At 33.6% G+C, this 23,330-nt stretch overlaps 1 long non-coding RNA gene across 1 annotated transcript; it reads left to right on the forward strand.

Annotated features, from left to right (window-relative positions):
* Positions 1-29: 29 nt before the first annotated feature.
* Positions 30-21,799, forward strand: LOC105377846 (uncharacterized). Its single transcript, XR_942663.3, has 3 exons — positions 30-447; positions 18,261-18,313; positions 21,511-21,799. It is a non-coding gene; the product is annotated as an uncharacterized LOC105377846 (long non-coding RNA).
* The last annotated feature ends 1,531 nt before the right edge of the window (positions 21,800-23,330 follow it).

Below are 23,330 nucleotides of genomic sequence, written 5' to 3' on the forward strand. Positions count from 1 at the left end.
GTAATGGGATGACTTTCTGGAACCATAAAATTAAACATACCAGAGCAACAAATACTGGTATCTTTTATATAATCAATCTACTCTTCTCCTATCGTCCTCTTCCACTTCCTCTTCCCTATTTCCATTGCCTTTCTTACATTTCTCCTGCCACTCCCTCCCAGGTACTCACCGCTACCCTGCGTTCCTGCATAGACTTCCATCAGAGAGAACATGTTAGGAAAGTTAAATTGCAGTAAGCACATCACAGCAATGACGAGGACAGGTACTTTTCTGGGAAACACTGGAAGACAGCTGGAGAGGATTCTGCTGCTGTGAAAGCACCTAAAGCCTCCTTGACTCAGCCTCACATCCTATCTTCAAGAAAACATCATATGGTTATTATATAAACCTCTTACGGGATTTCTAAGGTTAATTTCAATATATAAATGGCTACTCAACAGAATCAAGGTAATTAGAGTTTGCTTATATTCAAAAAGAGTTGCAAAATGTCTCCTAGAAAACAGAATTAACTATAAGAACCTGAAATTTGCATTTCATAACTTTAAGGAGTTTAAATTATCAAGATTAATATTGCACTAAAAAGTTTGTGCATTCATGCGTGATCGAATATGAAAACACATGACCTGTGAACTGAGCAAAAGGTATGCTTTCTGAAGCATATACTCTGTGTGATTAGGTCACTGATGCCATTGAAATATGTAGATTTAATGTTAAAGCTACTGGTTCTCTGAGTGTTTTCATGATCTCACCAGATTTTTTTTTTTGTACCATTCACTCTTTTCTATTTAAAAGACTTTCAGTCGTAGTCTAAAAAAAATTCCAAACACTTTAGTTCTGGAATTTCACTTATTCTCTACAAGTTATTATTACTACAATTTAGTACAAACTCTCATTTTCATAGCTTACTATTCCAACTTCTCCTAGTATGTAACCCTTATGCTCTATAACTGAAAACATTCTGGTAAAAGGAATCAGCATGCTAATACTATTTTAAACACACATCCTCATTCTCTTTCCTATTATTCATAAAACTAGAAAAATAAAAAAACACTTTTCTTCCAGCAGTGGATAGAAGAAAAAGAAATTCAAATTTACAATTTAATTGTCATGGGTCACTCACTTGCAGTGACTTGCTCTAGTTGCTTCTGTTGTTTTAATGCTAAGGTAAGATGATGAAGATCTGTTTTGAGTAAAGTAAGCTCCAAATATGAGCTTTGCACTACTACCATTCTTAATTTGTGGATCATATCAATGTTAGGAGTTGAAGGTTTAATTTGCATTTATTTAAATAAATTATCCCTAGACTATAACTTATTTTCCAAATGTCTCATTCTTTCTCTCATGTTTATCTTTTTTCTTGACATTCATTTCTTATACATGCATTCATCAATATTAGCCATTCTATGTGGATATACTAATTCATATTTACTTCAATCCATTAATATTTGCATTCTAATAAAATTCATTGCTTCTCTACAATAGATAGTTCAAGCAGAACTTATAGTTTTGGTCATTAATTTCTAGCTACAGATTGCAGAAGAGAAGCAGCACATAATAAAGTATATCCTAGTCATGTTTGCATATAAATACATACTACATTGCACAGAATAATTGTTACCCTCCTACAAAAGCCCAAAATAAATTAAAGATATAAAATCACTGATATAATTCAGTTTTGTATCTCAATCACAATCCAGTTTCTTTCTTTTTCTGATCTTATAGCCTGGGGGTTCTCAAAAGAAAACGTTTTAGAATAAAATTTTATTTTCTATAAACCTAAGGATATAGTGCACATTCATTGATAGAACAGGCATCAACTTCTGTTTCTCTGATCTCATTTCACTAGGGCTTACATTTTCAGCCATATCACTAGGCAGAACTGTGAAAGCAATTCTGTATTAATGTTCAAAGATGCATTTTTTTTATTAGAAAAGAAACACATGTTTTATACTTAGCCCTATATCCTGTATCTTCCCCTCCCTTCCTCTTTTGGTTTTTCTTGTCCTACAATAAAAAGCACTAGAATATCCACTGGATGTATTGTTTATAAATTAAGTAACATATTGTTCATATAATAAAACGATTCTCTTCCCCACATGATTTCATCACCACTGTCTCTTCCTAAGTGTGACAATGTCTTCTGCTTACTTCAACATTAAATATTTTATATTTACTTCTAGATTAATAAACTGTAGACCCTACCAATTGTCTCTATAGAAGATTACTAGTTTGCTCATTTATGTAATACTCATATTCCCCTTTCATGTACCTTCCTTAAATTTTAATAGTTGCATTTATCCTTCCAAGTAGCATTCAAACTTTAAATATAAATACATCTTCATCACTTGTTCCCTCATTTACACAATACTTCCTAATTATTTACTACATAAGAGAGTGGTCTTATAACTATATTTTTCTCTATATCTCTTGTATCAACTTTCAAACTGGAATTTTTGACAGATACCACTTCTATATATAGGTGTACAGGTCCTGCTAATGCTGAGAGACAAAAAAGAGAACAGAAAGGACCACTCTTGCTGAGACAAAAAAGAGAACTGGGAGGACAACTCCTGCAGGCATGTGGACATTCATAGAAAATACAGCCTTCACCATCTAAGACTTGGGACAGGAAAGCAGAACAGAAAAAGATAAACATAAAATGAAAGGGCCAGATGGGAGAATAAACTGTGTAGAAAAGCTGACAGGTTCTAAAGCACTGTGATATCTCCTACTGTTTATAAAACAGGCATATGGACTTTAAACCAGGAGCAAATCTCTGGAACATCTTTGGTTATCAGATTTCAAATTTTGATAAAAAGAAGACTCTGATTCCATTCTCAAATAATTTCAAGACAGTAGTGAACTAAATTTTAGACAACAAAAATGCATATTCACCTTCTACAGAGATAACTGTCTCAGAAATACTTGCTCAATACTAGAAGCCTGACAAAAAGAAAAGCACATATTTTGAGGGTATACATATCATTTAATATAGTTTCTACTATTTTCTGCACAAAATCTGGGATAACCTTTAAAAAATGCAGTAAAAACAAGCAAGAAAATATAACCAACTGTCAAGAGAGAAAACATTTAATAGAAAACAAGCAAGGATGGCCAAGATGTTGGTTTTTATCAGGCTTATAAATAAAAATATATATGAAAAAGTCAAAAGATATATATATGTGTGTGTGTGTGTGTATTTGAAGAATCTCAACAAAGATGGAAAATATGAAAAAAATTCAAATAGAAATTTTATACCTGGAAAATGTAGTATTAGAAATAAATAGCCACAGCAGAGAAACTTGAAGAAAAGACAAGAGAAATTATTCAAACTGAATTAAAAATTAGAAACATACAGTGATCTGTAGGACTATGCCAAATGTTCTGACAGATGCATAATTGAAATTCACAAAAGAGGAGAAATCAAAAGTATGTAAAAAATCAAAGCCTGTTGTTGTGGCATGTGCTTCTCAGGAGGCTGAGCCAGGAGCATTACTGGAGCCCAGGAGTTTGAGACCAGCCTAGGAAACATAATGAGACTCTGTCTCAAAAAAAAAAAAAAAAAAAAAAAAAAAAAAGAGAGAGTGAGAGAGAGATAATATTTAAATTTTTCTAAGTGAAAGACATACTGTAACTACCAGAAACATAAAACCCAGTGAACTTCAGAAAGTATAAGTAGAAAGAAAAACACACTTAAATGTATAGCAGACAAACTGGTAAAAACCAAGGATAAAGAATGGATCTTAAAAAGTCACCACAGAGTAAAGGACATTGCTTCAGATCAATGGAGGTCAGAAGACAATAGAACACATTTTTAAGGGGCTGCAAAAATATTGCCATGTGGAATCATCCCATGTTCAGTAAAATATGTGTTCTCCAAATGAAGGCAAATTAAAGTCTTTTTGATGAACAAAAGACATGAGAATTTTTATCCAATCGATTTGAATATCAAGAAATATTTTTTAAAATGTTTTTTGATGATAAAAAATTGAAGCATATCATAAGAAAGACAAGTCTTCAGGAGTGAATGAAGAAACCAGAAAGGATAAATATAAAAATAAAACTTCAAAGTTCAACTACTAAAATTTTCATAACATAGCATTGACTGTGTGAAGTAAAATTATCAGTGTTGCACAATTGATACTATATGCAGATGTGAATTATGTGTTATTAGACCAAAAAAGCAGACGGACGATAAGAAAACCATATTACATCAGGTTCTTACATTACTAAAATATGCTTTTCAACAAAGATAGTAATAGGATGAAAATGGACATTATAATCTCTAAAGTAACTCACAAAAATTAATAATACAAGGAAGCATAATAAAACATAAAAAATAAATAGAAGATAAAAGTACATGATTTACTAAAAAAGAAGGCACAAAAGTGGGAACAAAGAAAAGAACAAATTAATCAAAGAGAAAATAAACGCCAATGTGTTAGACTTAACAATAGTTGCATAAAAAATTAAAATGCAGAGATTGTCAGACTGAATAAGAATGTGAAGCTCAACAGCACACTGTTTGCAAGAAAAAATTTTAAATATAAATAAGAGATTTTTAAAAAGGGATAAAAAATGCATACCAAATTAAATATACACATAAGAAAGCTTGTATCTATATTGGTGTCAGACAAATTGAATTGTAAGACAACAGTAATACCAAAAACAAAAGGGACATTTCATAGTTATGTAATAGTTTATCAAGATGCTGCAGCAAAAGAAGTCATAACATGAAAATTTGTGATGTATATTAGAAAACAGAAAGGTAGAACATCAATGATATTTCCACATGAAAATGTTAGAAAGCAAATAACAAATTATAATCAACATAAGTAGAAGACAGAAAATGTAGAAATAAAAACAAAAAAATTAAAACAGTAGATGAACAAAGAACAGAGAATATCAACATTTTAAAAATTAAGTTTTGAAAATATTAATGAAATTGATAAATAAATAAGAATAATCAAGGAAAAATAGAAAACATAAATTATCAATATCAAGAATAACAAAGGAGACTTCACTACAGAATCTGTAGATATTAAATAGACGCTAGCAGTATAAAGTTGACGACTTTACGCTAGCAAATTTTACAATGTACATAAAATAAAATAATTATTTAAAATCACAACCTGCAAATAATGACAACAAAAGGAGTTGAAAACCTAAAAATTTCTAAACCTATTAAGCACAGTCATGCACCACATTAACACCCTTTTGACCAATAATGGACCATGTACATGACAGTGGTCCCACAAGACTATGATGGATCTGAAAAATTTCTATTGTTTAGGGATATTGTAGCCATCATAATATCATAGGGCAATGTATTGCTCACGTTTGTGGTGGTGTTGGTGTAAACAAGCATACTGTGCCACCAGTCATATGAAAGTATAGCACATACAATTATGTACACTATATTTTATAAAGATAAGAAATGATGTTACTGGTTTACACACTTACTATACTATACTTTTTATTGTTTTTTTAGTGTACTACTCTACTTACATTTTAAAAAATTTTAACTGTAAAATAGCCTGAGGTAGGTCCTTCAGGAGGTATTCCGGAAGAAGGCATTATTATTATAGGAGATGACAGCTCCATACATGTTTTGCCCTTGAAGACCGTTTAGTGGGACAAGATGTGGAGGTAAATCAGTGATATGGATGATCGTAGCCCTGTTTGAGCCTACCCTGATGTGTATGCTTGTGTCTTGGTTTTTATTGTTTTATTTTTATTTTTATGTTTTTTCAGACAGGGTCTCGCTCTGTCACCCAGGGCCTAAAGTGCAGTGGCATGATCAGCTTGGACCTCCTGGGCTCAAGCGATCATCCTATCTCAGGTGGGAACACAGGTGCATGCCACCACAACTGGCTTTTTTTTTTTTTTTTTTTTTTTTTTAACGTTTGTAGAGAGGAGGTTTAACTATGCTGCCCAGGCTGGTCTTGAAGTCTTGGGCTAAAGTGATCCTCCTACCTCGGCCTCCCAAAGTGCAAGGATTAAGCCACTGCACTCAGCTGTATATTGATTAACGAGAAAAGTTTAAAAGGTAAAAATAAAATAAAAAATAAAAGTTTTAAAAATATAAAAAAATGTATAAAATAAGGAGATAGAGAAAGAAAATATTTTTCTACAAGTGTACAATGTATTTGTGCTTTAAACTAAGTGTTATTGCAAGACTCAAAAAGTTAAAAAATTATTAAGTTTACAAAATAAAAAAGTTTCAACAAGCTAAGGTTAATATTGCTAGAAAGAAATTTAATAAATTTATGATAGCCTAAGTATACAGCATTTATAAAGTCTACAGTAGTGTACACTAATGTCCTACCCCTTCACATTCACTTACCACTCACTCACTGACTCATCAAGAGTAACTTCCAGTGTTGCGAACTCCATTTATCATAAGTGCCCCCAGCAGGTGTATAACATTTTTAATCTTTTATGCCATATGTTTACTGTACTCTTTGTATGTTTAGATGTGTTTAGATATACAAATACCATTGTGTTACAATTGCCTACATTATTCAGGACATTGGCATACTGTACAGGTTTGTAGCCTAGGAGCACTAGGCTATACCAGATAGCCTAGGTACACAGTAGAGTATACCATGGAGATTTGTGTAAGTACACTCCTTGATGTTGGAATGATAAAATTTTACCTAACAATATACCTCTCAGAATGTATTTCCATTGTTAAGCAACGCATGACTGTAATAAAACTAATTATGGAGTCTTTACACACACTGTGCACAAAATCACACACACTTCTACATACTCAAGGCCCAGATACCCTCAATGGTGAATTATTTCAAGCCATTTACTGAATAAATAATGTCAATATTACACAAACACTTAACAAAAACAGGGTGAACACTCCATTCTCCCATACTCAATTCAGGAGACCAGCATGAACCTGATATGAAACTTGAAAAACATATAACCCCCTTCTCCAAAGTACTAACATACCTATAAACGTAAATGCAAGTGTATTTAAGAAGTACTTGTAAATTGAATCCAGTAGTATGTTGAGGAATAGTGTCTCATGACAAAGTATATTTAACTTCATCAAAGCTTAAAAAACACTAAAAAGGCATTAAGAAAATAAATAAAAAAGCCACAGTAGGATAATATATTTGCAATACGTAGAACTAACATCTTTTAGTGCTAAAACTTAGATATTTAAATCTATTTGCTTCTCTCTCCATCTATCTATCATCTTCTGCAGCTCAATAATAAAAAGACAAGCAATAATACAGAGCTATGAGCAAAACCCTTGTATAGACATTTCACAAAGAAAGACATAAAAATGGCCAATAAGCATGTGAAAAGATGATCAAAATTATCAGTTATCAGGTAAATGAAAATAACAACGACAATATATTACTAATTGTCTTACAAACCAAAATGGCTTAAGAGCATCTGACAACAGCAAATGTCAAGGTTGTGAGGCAACAAAAACTATCATATATAGTTGGTGGGAGAGCAAAATCATATCAACATTTGGAAAATTTTTTGGTGTTTTTTTTTTAATTAAGCACATATATACCATTAAGACACAAAAGATTTCAGCCCTAGGTATTTACCTAAAATAAATAAAAATCTATATTCATAAGGAAAAATGTGGATAATAAATGTTCACAGAAACTTTATTCATTATAACTTAAAAGTGAAAAGTACCCAAATACCCATTAACAGGTGAATGCATAATAAATTGTATATTCATACATTGGAATACTATTAGAAATAAAAAGGAATCAGCTAATAATACCACACATGTCTAAATCTCAAAAACATTTTACTAAAAATCACAAAAAGGTATATATAGTGTGACATTTTAAAAATAAAGCTCTATGGTGAATAAAAAAATTGATAGATTTTTATCAAAGATGGTAGAAATCAGAGCAGCAGTCGCCTAGGGTTGGGGCACAGCTCAAGAGTTGCTGGGAAGGTACACCAGAGAACTATCTAGGGCAATTAAAATGTCCTACATCATGATAGGGATGTGGGTTACATGCATACATATGTACATTTTCAAAACTCATATAACTTACACTTAAGATCTGTACATACACCGTATATAAATTATGCCTCAATAAAAGGGAAATAAATGATTTGTTTGTGATTGTATAAATATTGGTAAACAACATTTTGCATATTGTTTGCATATACTACAGAATAATTTGCATACTTCATTCTACTGGGTTGATATGGGTTGGTATGACCTTTCTAGAATAATAATTTTAGCAAAAAGGAGATACATTTATTCTTTTCTATTAAGTTAGTTGATCAAAATAAGAACAGATTTTGGTTTGCTTCATATTTGAATCAGAAATGCATAATTTATTCATGAAACCACAACATTTTTCTATATTTTAGTCTTTCATGTTTTGCTAAGTAATGAAACTCTCCTGTTCTTTGTAACCTTCTTTTCAGCTAGGCACAGTGGCTCACGCTGTAATCCCAGCACTCTAGGAGGCTGAGGCAGGCAGATTGCTTGAGCTTAGATGTTTAAGACCAGCCTGGGCAACATGGCGAAACCCGGTTTCTATAAAAAAATACAAAAAATAGCCAGACGTGATGCTGTGTGCTTGTAGTTCCAGCTACTGGGGAGGCTGAAGCAGGAGGTTTGCTTGAGCCTGGGAGGCAGAGGTTGCAGTGAGCTGTGATCCTGCCATTGCACTCCAGCTTGGGCAGCAGAGCAAGATCCTCAAAGAAGAAAAGAAGAAGAATAAAAGAAAAATAAGAATAAAAAAACCCTGAACACATTATTTTCAAAACTTAACTGTCCTAAGTTGGGCTGACCACTTCCAAAGCCAGCTGCACAGTGATCATTCTAAAACACTTTCACACTTAACTGCGTTGCATGCTCTCACTTTACTAATATGTTCTCTTGGAAGCTGCTTTAGTTACGTACATGTGCATTGGACATAAATTTATTGAGTTTTTTTTAGAGTCCAGTGTTAATAATAATCTGAAGCTATTTCTTTCTAAGTCACCCATGTTTTGTCTACCACCACCCTCCTCCTGATTTGAATAATTTTAGTTTTTCCTTATTTTCTTGTGCATTCAAAAAATTTACATCAGATCTGGGTGTGAATTTTAAAATATATATTCTATATGTCATTTGGCAGGCCCTTTGATCTAGACTTGTGTCTTTCTTACGCATGAATGATTCATTTCTTCTCCTCCATCTCCCTTCCTCTCTCCCTCTCCCTCTGGCTCTCATTTTCTTTCTTTCTTTTTTTTTTTTCTGATGAATTTGTTCTTCAGTTATCCTTGCCTAGAACATCATAGTAAGGTGTCACTTCTAGATCAATCATCTTTCTTGTTTATATTTTTTCACACTGTCTAGCCTATGCTCTATATTATAAGAGATTTTCACCCTGAATACTCATAAAACTGTATCTTCTGGCTTCCTCCTGGTCCATTACTTTATTTTTTATTTGCTTTGTTCTTTCATACTAAATTTCCTTATATATCTGTTGTTTCTTAAGGCTTTTTTCATACTTAAGGAGGCTCCCTCGCTTTTTCTCAGTTCAGGTTAAGAGTCCTCTGCTATTGCTCTGCTTTGCTAAGGGGTTTCTACCTTAAAGGAAATAGTGACTGGAATTCTGAATAAAATTGACATGTTTTCCAGGCTTGCTGCATTATACACTTTGTTTAAACATCAGAGTGTGGGCCGAGCACAATGGCTCATGCCTGTAATCCCAGCACTTTGGGAGGCCGAGGTGGACAGATCAGGAGGTTGGCGGTTCGAGACCAGCCTGGCCAAAATGGTGAAACCTCGTCTTTACTAAAAATACAAAAATCAGCCGGGTGTGGTGGCAGGTGCCTGTAATCCCAGCTACTCGGGAGACTGAGGTGGGAGAATCTCTTGAACCCAGGAGGCGGAGGTTGCAGTGATCTGAGATGGAGCCCCTGCACGGCAGGCTGGGCGACAGAGTGAGACTCGGTCTCAAAAAAAAAAAAAAAAAAAAAAAAAAATCAGAGTGCTCGTCTGCATAGAGGCCAAAATATATCAAAATAAGGTGAGCCACATTCTGATTAACTGACTTGTTTTTAAAAAGGACCCCAAGTAATTTTGGTTTTCTTTCCTTTTTGGTTATAAGTACCGGACTGCTTGGCTCTCTTGGTGAAGGGTTGAGAAGAAACTGAAGAAACCTCTCTGGAGATAAACTTTCAATTACTTCATTTCATTTCTCATACTCAGTACCTAGCTCTTAACCTGTTCTCTATACTGATTTTCATAGGGAAGATCACCACCGAATAATAATGCAGCCCTCTCCTGTTCACAATGCAGGCTATAGTAATCTCTGTTTTATCTTTCTGTAGATCTGTTTTCCACTATTTTTCACTTCAAAAAATTGTTAACATATAGGTCTATTGATTCACTACACCATCACTCCAATAAGGTATGTTGAGAGTAACATGTGTGCTCAGTCCACAGTTTTAAGAAAAAAATAAAAAGCCTAGCCTACAGGAGTTAATAAACTGTATGATTTCATTTACTCTCATCAAAGTTCATGTGACTGCAGCAGTCTTACAACTATAAACAAAACAATTTTTCTATCTAATGAAACTGAATCAAAATTGATTGAAATTATGTTGTTGGACAAATTATTTTACTTCTCTAAGCCAATTTTCACATTTTCTAAACTAGATAGAAATCATGGTACTTCACAGAGAGGTTGATAGGATTAGATTAAATGAGGCTTATAAAGGAACGTAGCATTCTGCCTGGTATTTACTAGCTTTTCAATAAATTTTTAGCATAAATATTATTAGCCATTTCCTCCCCCATCCCTTTGCAAGATTCTGTGGGATGCAACACACTTTGAAATGAACACTGCCTTTTCCTTGATGTCTTCCTACCCTAATTTTTGCATGTGAGCCATAGTTCATCCATTAATCATATTGTTGTCTATCCCTCATTCCTCTGTTCTAAAGTCAATTATTACTTTAAAAATAGTCTCATCTCGATTTAGTTGGAATTCATTGTTTTGTACAGATACTTAGTAAGGATTTACCTAATATTCTATTTCTGGCTTGTTGCTATTCAAAAAGTGAAGTGCAACGTATTAGTATAAAACATTGAACTCTCCAAATGTATCACATTTGTCTCATCCTAAATGTATCTAAAACTCCCTGCTACATAATAAGAATGCCTTTCCATGCCATATGCAACACAAAACAGAATAATATTTTCAATGTTGATTGATTCTCAATGGACAGTAATACTTAAGCTATAACTGAAATCATTCTCCACACCACATTTGGCTGATTTGTTTGTTCCTGAGCATAATTTATAAGTTAATTCCTTGCTCTACTCTGTTCCTGTAGTATAATCAAGATGCTAATCTGTTGCCAGTAACTGTATCAAATGGTATCTATGCTAGCTTTTGTGGCTAAAATGGCTTTGATATTTAAAATACAAAGGTTTCCTTTAATCTTTCATAATATGAATTCTGAATTGCTCAAGCTGCTGCCATCTGATAACTTATACAATGCTTGAACTAGAAAAGACCCTAGAGATTTTCTAATGAGACTTTACCTTTTAATATAATATATATTTGTTAAACAAAATGTTGAAAATCAAAGAAAAATCACTTATAGCCCATCATTGGAGGACTTATAACTTTAAATGAATCAACCGAGAAGAAAATAGACATAATGAAATCTCAGAACAGCTTCTTAGTAATAATTGATTTAAAGAGTAACAGAAAAAGTGATTCAACTCACAGTAGATAGAAGTCCATGAATTATCTATTATAAGAATGTAAATGTAGAATACTTTCATGACAAGAGAAAACAATGATTAAATGCACTAAAAGGCATAAATAACTTACTGAATAGAAAGTGTTGCCACTTAGTTTGTCTTTCCATTCTGGTATAAAGTCACAGTTTTATGAAATCATGATACTAGCCACTCATGCTTCGTTTTGATTTCAACAAGATTTCGCCAAATATTTCCCATTTGAAGTGTGCTATAATTTTTTGTTATAGACAAACCTCTTTAATAATGCTAAGCAACATAGACTAATATTTGGAACAATATTTGGTGGTATACTTGTTGTTTTGGTTTTATACCAGGGATAGCGTAGCAGATTGTATTATAGTTCTCAGGTATAATTTCCATGCCCTGTAGGAGGATTCACCCCAGCTCAGCATCACATCTTATTCATTGCCTTGTGAGGGGAGTGTATTCTGTCCCATTAATGATAGTCATGGATTTGTGATGTACTTGATAAGTGGTATTTGAGAAAACATGGCATATGTTATAATATGAGCAGAAGCTTAGAAGGCACTAAAAATTTCTACCAGTTCTCCTTCTTTTTTCCCTCTGATAAGAAAATAATATGTTCAAAATAGGGCTGCTCCTTTAGCCTGGGTTCTGGGGAAAGGAGACATATAGAGCAGATCGAAGTAACTTGTATCTGATTACATACAACATGAACAGGACATAGATGTTTGTTGTTACAAACTAATAAGATTATAAACTAATGGGTTGTTAGCCATTAGCAATGTAGTCTTGAATTTTATTGTAAACTTTCACAATAAATGAAGACAAGCATAATTTTGTTTCTTATTTAAGCAATGACCAGAATAATAACATTTCCAAAATCAAACCATATTCATATTTATATTGATAAAATATTCTTGTAAGTCAAAACTGTTAACTGAAATTTTGAATATTTTTTAGTTGTTTTTCCCCATAATGTTCTATGTCCCAAAGAAGTTTCCACCTCCTGGCAAATATATATTAATGAAAATTTGAAAATGGTCCTCTTAAACGATCTTTGCTTCCACAAAATTTCTTAATTTTACTTAAACATTTAAAAATTCAGAAGTTTAAGTGTAGCATAATGAAAACATGTTATAAAAAGATATTTTCTAATTTTTATTGTAATAATCTCATAAAATTATATCCTCTAAAACTCTCTACCTCTCATTGGCACCCCACTATCCATGTAGACCATTGACATCTTTCTTTATTACTTCCTTCAGCTGTTTCTTCTGGTGCAAAAATGTGTTGACAACCCCTATATGCAATTGCCCCTGCTCTAATACTCTGATTTTTTTTTTTTTTTGAGGGGGAGGTGGAAATATATATATATATGTATATTTTTTCATTATTTTCTTATAATTTTTTCAAGTTTCATGTAGGATTGTAAAAGGGAAACACATGTATTTGATTTGCCATGTTTACTATAATGCTTTTCATATACTCATATTCTTTCCTTTCAAGGCTTAGATTTAATGGTGAATTCTCTGTGCTAGATCCCTTGAAATTCCAAAGTGGAATAATTACTCCTTGCTCCATGCTCTCCTAGCACTTTGATTATCATGCTAACATAGCAATCATTAGATTATATTTTAGCTACATTTGGATATAGTTATCTAGCTTTGTAAATTGTGTTTTACTTTGTAAAAATATAAAAGTAATAAAACTTGGTTAAATGTAACTCGGGTTTGAGAACTCAGAGATAGTCCTAAGTACATAATAAGATCACAGAAAAATAGCGGGAGTCACAGCCATCTGGAGAAGATGGTAATGTCCTTCATTCAGTCAATACATATTTATCAAGTACCAAGCATGAGCCAGGTTCTGTGCTAGGGCATTAGAGATAGAGCAGTGAACAAGACAGACATGGTTCCAATTTACAGTATACTCACGGAGGCTTAATATTTAATTTTTTTCCCAATTTCCAAAGCATTTTATATTAGTTGAACCCGTGAGCCAGTATGCTGCTGTTATTGTGATTGCTATGGCTTTAGCAAAGAAAGGCAAAGGCAACAGAAATTGTGCCTTACAAGTCATAAAATATGTGATTGAATTTTAAAATAAGGAATCTTGCCAACCCCTGTAACCACAGATTTATGTGTCACTTACAATAAATACCTATCAATAAAACTAATCATTTTACTTCCTTTTGGGACCAACATTTATATTGGAGTTGTTCTCATGATAGTTATGGCAAACACCTGCTGACCTCACTCTGTGAACCGCCATCACCTATCCAAGCCCTACAGCTGCCTCAGTGCCAGCTCTCCAGAGCTTAAAAGGTGCTAGCCACGACCAACACTCACTATTGAGGCACAACATACATTAAACCTAGCACTTGAATTATGTGAGGGAAGAAAATTTAGAAGAAAACTTTAAAGAAAATATGAGGGAACATTTAAAAATTCATGGAAAATGCATATTACGAAAAAGTAGGCATGGATTTCAAAATTATGTTTGCATCAAAATAAACTCATACTACCTTCTAATAACATGTCTCAACAGGATCTAGTTTGAAACATTAGGAAGGATAAGACATCAGTTTGAAAATAGTCCCTATCAGAGCAACATACATTCTGCTAAAATTGAAGTGAAAACAAACATCAAATTTATGGTGAAGCTTGGATGAAAGAATGGTGAAATCACATATGCTTTATGAAAACTTTATTGGGACAGTCTTCAAATAACTAGGCAGTTTACAAATGGATTTAAAAGAAGGAATAGGATGGTGTTGAGGATGAGGCTTGTAGTGGCAGACCATCCACATCAACTTGCAAGGAAAAATTCAGTCTCGTTTTTGCCCTAATTGAAGAACACTGATGATTGACAGCAAAAACAATAGCCAATGCAATATACATTTCAGTTAGTTCAACTTACACAATTCTGACTAAAAAATTAAAGGAGAGCAAGTTTTCTACTTGATGGGTGCCAAAATGGTTACCCCCAGATCAGCTGCCGAGAAGAGCAGAGCTTTTGATGGAACTTTCAAACAAGTCAATCAAGGTCCTGAAGCATTGTTTTGAATAATTGGATAGTAAAGATGAAACATAGCTTTCCCAATATGATCCTGAAGACACAGCACAATCAAAGCAATGCTTACCAAGACCTGGAAGTGGTCCAGTGACAGCAAACACAGGATGGCCAAGAGCAAAGCTAATGGAGACAGTTTTCTTTAGATGCTCAAGGCATTTTGCTCCTTGACTTTCTGGAGGGCCAAAAAACAATAACATCTGCTTATTATCACAGTGTTTTGAGCAAGTAAGAAAAAGCTTTAGCAGAAAAATGCTCAAGACACCTCGATTTGAGAGTCCCTTTCCACCGTGACAATGCTCATTCCTTTCGTCAAATAAGGGTAATTTTGTGGGAATTCTATGGGAAATCATTAAGCATCCCCTTAACCCTTCTGATTTGGCTCTAAGTCATTTTTGTTTTCTAATCATAACAAATCTGTAAAGGGCATCCATTTTTCAGTTAACAATGTATTAGGTTGGTGCAAAATTAACTGCGGTTTTTCCATTACTTTTTTGGGTTTTTTTTGAGACGGAGTCTCACTCTGCCACCCAGGCTGGAGTGCAGTGGCACGATCTCGGCTCACTACAACCTCCGCCTCCCATGCTCAAGTGATTCTCCTGCCTCAGCCTTCCGAGTAGCTAGGATTACAGGCGCAAGCCACCACGCCGTGCTAATTTTTTTTATTTTTAGTGGAGTCAGTGTTTCAACTAGTTGGCCAGGCTGGTCACAAACTCCTGACCTCAAGTGATCCGCCCTCCTCGGCCTCCCAAAGTGCTGGGATTACAGGCGTGAGCCATCCCACTCGACCTTGCCATTTCTTTTTGAAAGGCAAAACCACAATTACTTTTGCACCAACCTAATAAGAAAAGACTGCATTGACATTAAATTCCTAAGACTATCAGTTCTTTAGGGATGGATTAAACGGCTGATATAATCTCACAATATGTATTGAGCTTGATGGCCCTTATGTTGAGAAATAAAGTTTAAAGTTTATATTATTTTTAAAAAAATTTTGTCTTTCAATTCAATTTTTACACAAACTTTTTAGTTTCCTTGTATTTAGGGTGAGGAATTTCCCATGAGATTTATCATACAGAAAGGAAGAGAGACACAGAAAAAGACACAGAGAGAGAGGGAAAGAGTAGGAAGGAAAGAGGAAGAATAAGCAATATTAATACAACTACAAAGTATGACATATAAACTAAGGAAACCACTGTAAGTCAGAATGAAAGAAAAATAATTTTTTGTTTTCTTTTTTCTTTTTTTTTTTTAACCTAGTCTCGCTCTGTCGCTCAGGCTGGAGTGCAGTGGTGCAATCTCAGCTAACTACAACATCCGCCTCCCAGGTTCAAGCAATTCTCCTGCCTCAGCCTCCCAAGTAGCTGAGATTACAAGTGCCCACCACCAAGCTCAGCTAATATTTGTATTTTTAATAGAGATGGGGTTTAACCATGTTGGCCAGGCTGGTCTCAACCCCCTGGCCTCAAGATATCCACCTGCCTTGGCCTCCCAAAGTGCTGGGTTACAGACGTGGGAGCCACTATGCCAGGCCTAATTTTTGTTTGTTTGTTTGTTTATTTTACATTTCCTTTGTGTAAAAATCCAAGGGAGAAACTCTAACAGTATTAGTTTACTATAAATGTGCTAAGATACTTATGACCCTTCCTCTATCTTCTGGATAGGCACACATACAGTTGCATTGAGTTACCCATTGTTATACTTTTAATTGTAAGCCCTGAAAATATATTTCTCTCTTCAGCTAAAGGTTTACCATGACATCTGACTCATCACCATCTTCAAACTTCCAAGTTCTTTTCAATTCAATTAAAATGAAAACAGTGAGGAAATTTCTGTAATTCCATAAGATTACTGATTCAACACCTTGGTATTTTACCATATGTAACAGAGACTAAAAATGGAGTTAATCTAGAGGGAGAAGGACACAATGACTCAGCATAGTACCTTTCACTTTCATGTCAGTAGTTAAAATTCAGTACAAGGCTATAGTTACTAAGTCTGCTCCCAAGTGTTCCACGGAGGCATATAGGAAAATGAGGAAAGGGAATTTCTCATGGTTTGACAATTCTGGTTGACTGGTAAATTCCCATGAAATAAATAGAAAAAAAAAAGGTTGATGGTGGTAAAGATACCAAGGAGTGACTAATGAGGCACGGGTATGGCCTTCTTTTAGATTCTCTTTCTGCCAGAAGCAAAGGGCTGTATTTCTATTTCTTGACACCTGATATGTGAATAGTCTCTTATATTATTTGACATGATTAAAAATCATTTTGCTCTTAAAAATAACTTAGAACATTCTTGAAATATAAATAATGAGTTTGAAAAAAAGGTTCAATGGATAGTAATTCTGTTTACATTGTCCATAGGCTATAAAACTTAGGTAATTAACATGCTTAGCTTCTTCTGAAAGTCAGTACACATGTGCATTCTGAACATTTGAAATATCTTTAAAATAAGACAGCTCTCATTAACTGAGATTCAAGTTATGATTCAGAGCTCTTCTCTTATATTTACAGGTATAAGGCAAATTCACAAACCATTCGTTTTCTTTATTAAAGCATATGTGATATAGTGGAGAGAAAAGATTTCATTTAAATTTTCTAGCTTTATGTATGAAATTGTTTCTGTTTTTTTTCTTTCTACAAAATTTCATTAGAGTTTCTTTAAAAGGGAGAATATAACCTACTCCTTGTGGGTTTTGCTGCTTCAACCAATGACATATTTATAAATACATACAGTACCATCCCATTATTCACAATTTACTTTCCATAGTTTTAATTACTCATTGTCAACTGCAGGCCCAAAATAGGTGAGTACAGTACAATAAGATATTTTAAGAGAAACCACAATCTCATAATTTTTACTACACGAATTGTTCTATTTTATTATTAGTTATTATTGTTAATCTTTCACTGCACCAAGCTTAAATTAAACTTTATAATAACTGTGTGTATACAGGAAAAAAACATGGTATGCATAGGGTTCAGCACCATCCATGGTTTTAGGCATCCACTGGAAGTCTTGGAACATATCCCCTGAGAATAAGGAAGAGCTACTGTTATACATATCACTTCTATATGTGTATACATACACACATGCAAACATAGAAAATAGTGAACATAAATGAATAAATGCAGTTTTATAGTCCATATTTCCTACTCAGCCCCTTAGTGAGTCAGCACCTCTTGTTGTGTCAGAGTAACCTGTCTTTTAAATAAGCACTCTTAGAGAATGTAAGAGAAATAAGAGATAACCAAGCTCACTTGAAATGTTAGAATATTAAGGATCAGATGGCTTCAGTGAGTGAGACACCCTGGACACACACACACACACACACACACACACACACACACACACAGAGAGAGAGAAAAAATGATAGACTACAATTTGTATATATATAGAGAGATTTTTCTTGTGATTCCTGCTTATGTGTATTTTTACCTCATAGGGCTGCGTGGTTGTGTTTGCCAAGGTTCTTCTCGTCAAAATCTGCACTGGAAGGTAAAGCAAAATAAACTTATTAGAATAAGTTTATTCCAAAATAAACGTATTTCTTTGGGCAACTCAGGCATCAAAAGGAAACTGAAATATGCAGATTTTTTTCCTGGTCTGGATGCAGAGCAGCCCCAAAACCTCAGCCACAATAATTCACAAAAATGATCTCTATGTTGCCAACATGTCCCTAAGGTCTTAGGTTTCATGATTCCTAATATCTGTGTCTTCGTTCAAGTTTTAAATTCTGGAAAAGAAAATCTGATTTTCCTAAGTTGGATCATGTTATGTTCCCTAGATTAGAAACCCTAGCAAAAAAACAGTTCCTGTAGCATAGATATGACTTCAAGAGTAACCCATGTGTAGTAAAACCTTTTCCAGTAAAGGGGGGATCATTTTGAGATGTAGCACCCAATGCCAATGCTGTGGACAGAATTTTGGATCTAGAAGGACAATTTAGCTAGATAGACTATCCCACTTTTCATAGCCAATGAGAAAGATCCAGTAAGGAGGCTAGGTCAGCTATTGTTAAAGGACAGATTAATACAGTTAAATGGAGAAAATCAAATTCAAATTTCTCTGGACAAGAGCAGAAAATAGGAGTGAGGACAAATGTCTTACAAGTTCAAGGTTCAGGATCTGATTAGGACAAGAATGGAAGGGCAATTAGATACAATGTAGGAATAATGCACAAGGATTACTGCTAAAGTCGGAGGGGAAGTATCTTTGGTTTGCATTTATTAGATATAATTGTCTTACTGTCTGAATGGATCCTGTTTGTTTATATGTTGATGGAACCACATTTCTTAACAAATTGAATTGTGCATGTAATTTAGTAGCCTTAATAATGACTCGAATTTTGAGTTCAGTGAATATGCACGACGCTTGTAAAAAAATTTTCACTATGACTTCCTTCTGAAGCTTCAGATTTTCATTCCCTTTAGCTTTCTTATGGTCTTATGATTCCAAAAAGTCAAAAATTAAAATATGGTATTTCTCCCAAATTTTTTCTTTTCTTTCTCACATTCGTAGTTCATTAATAGCACCATGCTTTTTGTCACTTAAGTTCAAATGTAATGGCTGATGATATTATAGATCTGTTACACATTAATTAGATTAAAAATACTTCTATATACAGTTCATCTCACTAGCATCCTACAGATAATCTAGGGCTTTCTTTTATAGCTTATCACCACAATTTAGGCAGATAAAAATCTAAATGCACATCCTTTCTCTTAGACTGTATCTTATTACTAAACCTTATATAAATAGTCAAGTTCTCAGCACGGTTAATATTTCTTCAGGTCTGTTGCCCGGCTCATTTCTCTTTTGACTGCTGTGTGTGCCTTGGAGCTCTCGTTTTACATGCTTCACTCCAAAGAGTCTCCTTGTATGTTACTGCAAGATGAGTCCAAGTACTCTTTCCCTTGCTTTGATGATGCTCAACAGTGTGCTCTCAAAGAGTATTTGACAAATTATCCTCCTTGAAAGCATCTTTGCCTCAGGATAAATATTAATTCTTCCCCAAAGATACACGTTGTATTGAATACAAGTGTGGTAAACAACAAGACTATTTTTTACAACTTGTTTCTGGGTTTTTCAGTGAAAAAGCAGCAAGAGACATAGAATTATATAACTGAAATGTCTTTTATAGATTATTCATCTTTCATTTTGCATATGAGAACGTCTAAGACCCAGAGCAGTCATTTGGTGTTCCCAAAGACACACAACTAACTGATAAGAGACATGAAATGTCTTTCTTAGGGTTTCCAGTGTATTGTTGTTTTTTGTTGTTCTTGTTTCTCACTACAGCAAACTCATATAAACCCGTGGCATCTTAATATGTACTTAATTTAATGATTGTTCAAAGTGTCACATAATTTGCACCTACAATGGATTAGTAAAAGCTTATAGCAATTGACCAATCTTTTTCTCAAAATAAAGTCAGTTAAGCAAAAATTGTAATGTCAAAATTAGATTATTTTCTTGGGTAATATTTCAAAATAAGGTTTTACAGTTAAAAATATTAACATTTTAAGACTTAGATATACAAATTTTGTTTCCAATATAGTATCAGTACACTCTTGCATAATAATTTTATTAGAAAGACATTCTCAACACACCCTGGCCAACATTTTGACCTTTGCTAATTTTATGAGAAAATGAAAAGAGAAATTATTTTAATAAATAATGTAATTAATTTCATGGTAATATCACTAAATCCTTTAAGGGTGTATTGAACAATACTGTAGTCACCAGCCACATATAACTATTTTCATTTAAATTAACTAAAATTGGCCAGGCATGGTGGCTCACGCCTGTAATCCTAGTACTTTGGGAGGCTGAGGAAGGTGGGTCACTTGAAGTCAGGAGTTCAAGACCAGCCTGGTCTATATGGTGAAACCCCATCTCTACTAAATACACAAAAATTAGCCAGACATGGTGGCACACGCCTGTAATCCTAGCTACTTAGGAGGCTGAGGCAGGAGAAACCCTTGAACCCAGGAGGGGAGGTTGCAGTGAGCTGAGATTGCACCACTGCACTCCAGCCTGTGCAACAGAGCAACAGGCTGTCTCAAAATAAATAAATAAAATTTAAAAATTAATTAACTAAAATTAAGAATTCAGATTTTCAATAGCACCAATCTTATCCAAAGTGTTCAATAACCACATGTGCTTAGTGGCTATTGTATCAGACAGAGCTGATATAGGACACTTTCTTCATCACAGAAAGTTCTATTGATAATGCAGCTCCAAGTTATTAATACCAATTTATAGAGGAAGAAACTTAGCCTTAGTTATATGCTCATACTCATACATGTAGTAAGTGAAAAAGTCAGAAATGAATAAAATTTCCTAATAATCTACGTTATTTAAAACTATTTACCATTGAATTTTTCTACTAATAGGATAAACATAGAATTTTATTTTGTTCATTAATACTTTCTGTGTTTCAAATTGCTTATTCACATAGAATAAACATCTACTGAATAAAAAAACCTTTTTATATTTCTCTTATTAATGTTATAATCTTGGTATTTTGCTTTTAAATTAAATCCCCATTAATCCAAACCAAATATATTATCAATATTAAATGTAGTATTGTATAATTGAAATAAAATTACATTAACATATTGCTTCTACTGGTTTCCTTACATTTCCAATGAGGAGGATTCTCTGTTGACCCATTCATTTCTTTTCTTCAGTAAGATTCTTCCTTGACAAACCATCTTTTGAACATCTGGTGAAAAAAAAAATGGAGAAATAATATGAGAGAAGAAAACGTGAATAAGACATTAAATGAAACTGCATGAGAGGTTTTATTCAAGGTTCACAATAAAATATATACCAGAGCAGTAGAAGAGCTGTTGTATTTAAAGACATTCGAAGGGGAATAAAATGTGAAGCATTTGGAAGATCTGTCCTAGCTTACATGTGTATTTTCAAAGTTGCCTTTAGGAAATGTGTGGTAATAAACTGAGTTTATTGAAATTAGCATTCAGGTGCTGAATTGTGCTGCATAAAAGACTAACACAGGTTCTTCCATAGAAAATGGTATTTTAATTGCTATATGTGGTAATAATATACTTTGATGATGAAAAGTTTAACAAATATGTTATACTGCCACATATATGTCATACTTAACTGAAGGAGTAAAGAAGTACTTTGTTAAACACTTTGCTAGTTTTAATACCTTAACTAACAAGAGCATTTATTCTTTTTTTATTTCTAAGAAATACATACATGTTAGGAATTTAGAACCTCACAGAGTTTTTTGTTTGTTTGTTTGTTTCTTCCCTCTTGGAAAATTCCAAGTATTGTTGATTATTAGTATTTGTGAAATAACTGTATATACTTTATGTTAATACAAAAGTAACAATTAAGAGTTGGTCAAAAGAAAGGCAAAATTTGATTTTTTTTCTTGTCTCCCTAGCATGTCATTCTAAATTAAATGGGGCATTCCACATTATAATAGTAATAACAAATACAAACAAGCTTCTTAAAGACTCTCTTTTAATTTAATAAACGGTCCCATTTTAAAAAACGAATTCCCGGTAACTATTCGTACAAGATAGATTATATTTTTGGTCCTTTTCCCATATTTTAATTGGTTGTGCTTGGAGCTATGTTATAGCCTTGGCCAGAAAATTATTCAGAGAGTAACTTCTAAATGTCATCATATGTATTAAAGTGACATTCTTCACCTTGTTTTTAAACATCAAAAAGTTCGTGGAGTTTTGCTTCTCACTTCTTAACAAATGGAAATGGAATTTGTCTTCTTGATTATCACACAACGTTCCCTCCTCTTCCTGGCATGCCTCTTTTCCAGCCCAGACTTTTTATTTAAATGCATTAGAACAGAATTTATAAACAGAATTTATTAGAACAGAATATCTAAAGTTAGATGCAGCTCAGGACAAAGTTGTAGTATATGTTGATAATTTAGTCCTCAAGCAAAACCACATTGTACACTTGTGTTTCCAAAACCAGCAAAAATTCATATTTTTGTTTGAACAGAAGAGTGGAGACACAACAAATTCCTATCTTCCTTTTCAGGAACTATATTGAAAATCTCTTTTTAACTTGCAAGGCTGATGCAGACTTTAGTCAGGTATGCTTCCATATTGAAATCCTCCGGAGATTAACAGCAACAGCAACTGCCTCAAGGCGTTCTTGGTTCCATTTCACCACTTCACCATCTGGTAGACATATGAGGATCAGTTCAACAGATTTAGGAAATGGTTATTATGAGGTTATTCTTTTTAGCAGATGATTTTTTTGTTTTGCCACTCCCACATAAATGCAAAACAGAAAATATGTTCGAAGCAGAGACTACTATAGAGCTTACCTATTTGAAATTTCCCCTCCAGCAAACAAAACCACTGCAAACTGAGCTTAACAATGTCCAGTCATAGCGTGAAGGGCAAATTTTAAACTGAATGTGCATTAGTATGATATATAGTTCTCTTTGGCCCCCAAAATAAATTACTCTCCTTAAAGATAAATGTAAATATAAGAACAAGCT

This window comes from Homo sapiens, chromosome 6 (genome assembly GCF_000001405.40).
Source record: "Homo sapiens chromosome 6, GRCh38.p14 Primary Assembly".
NCBI lineage: Eukaryota > Metazoa > Chordata > Mammalia > Primates > Hominidae > Homo > Homo sapiens.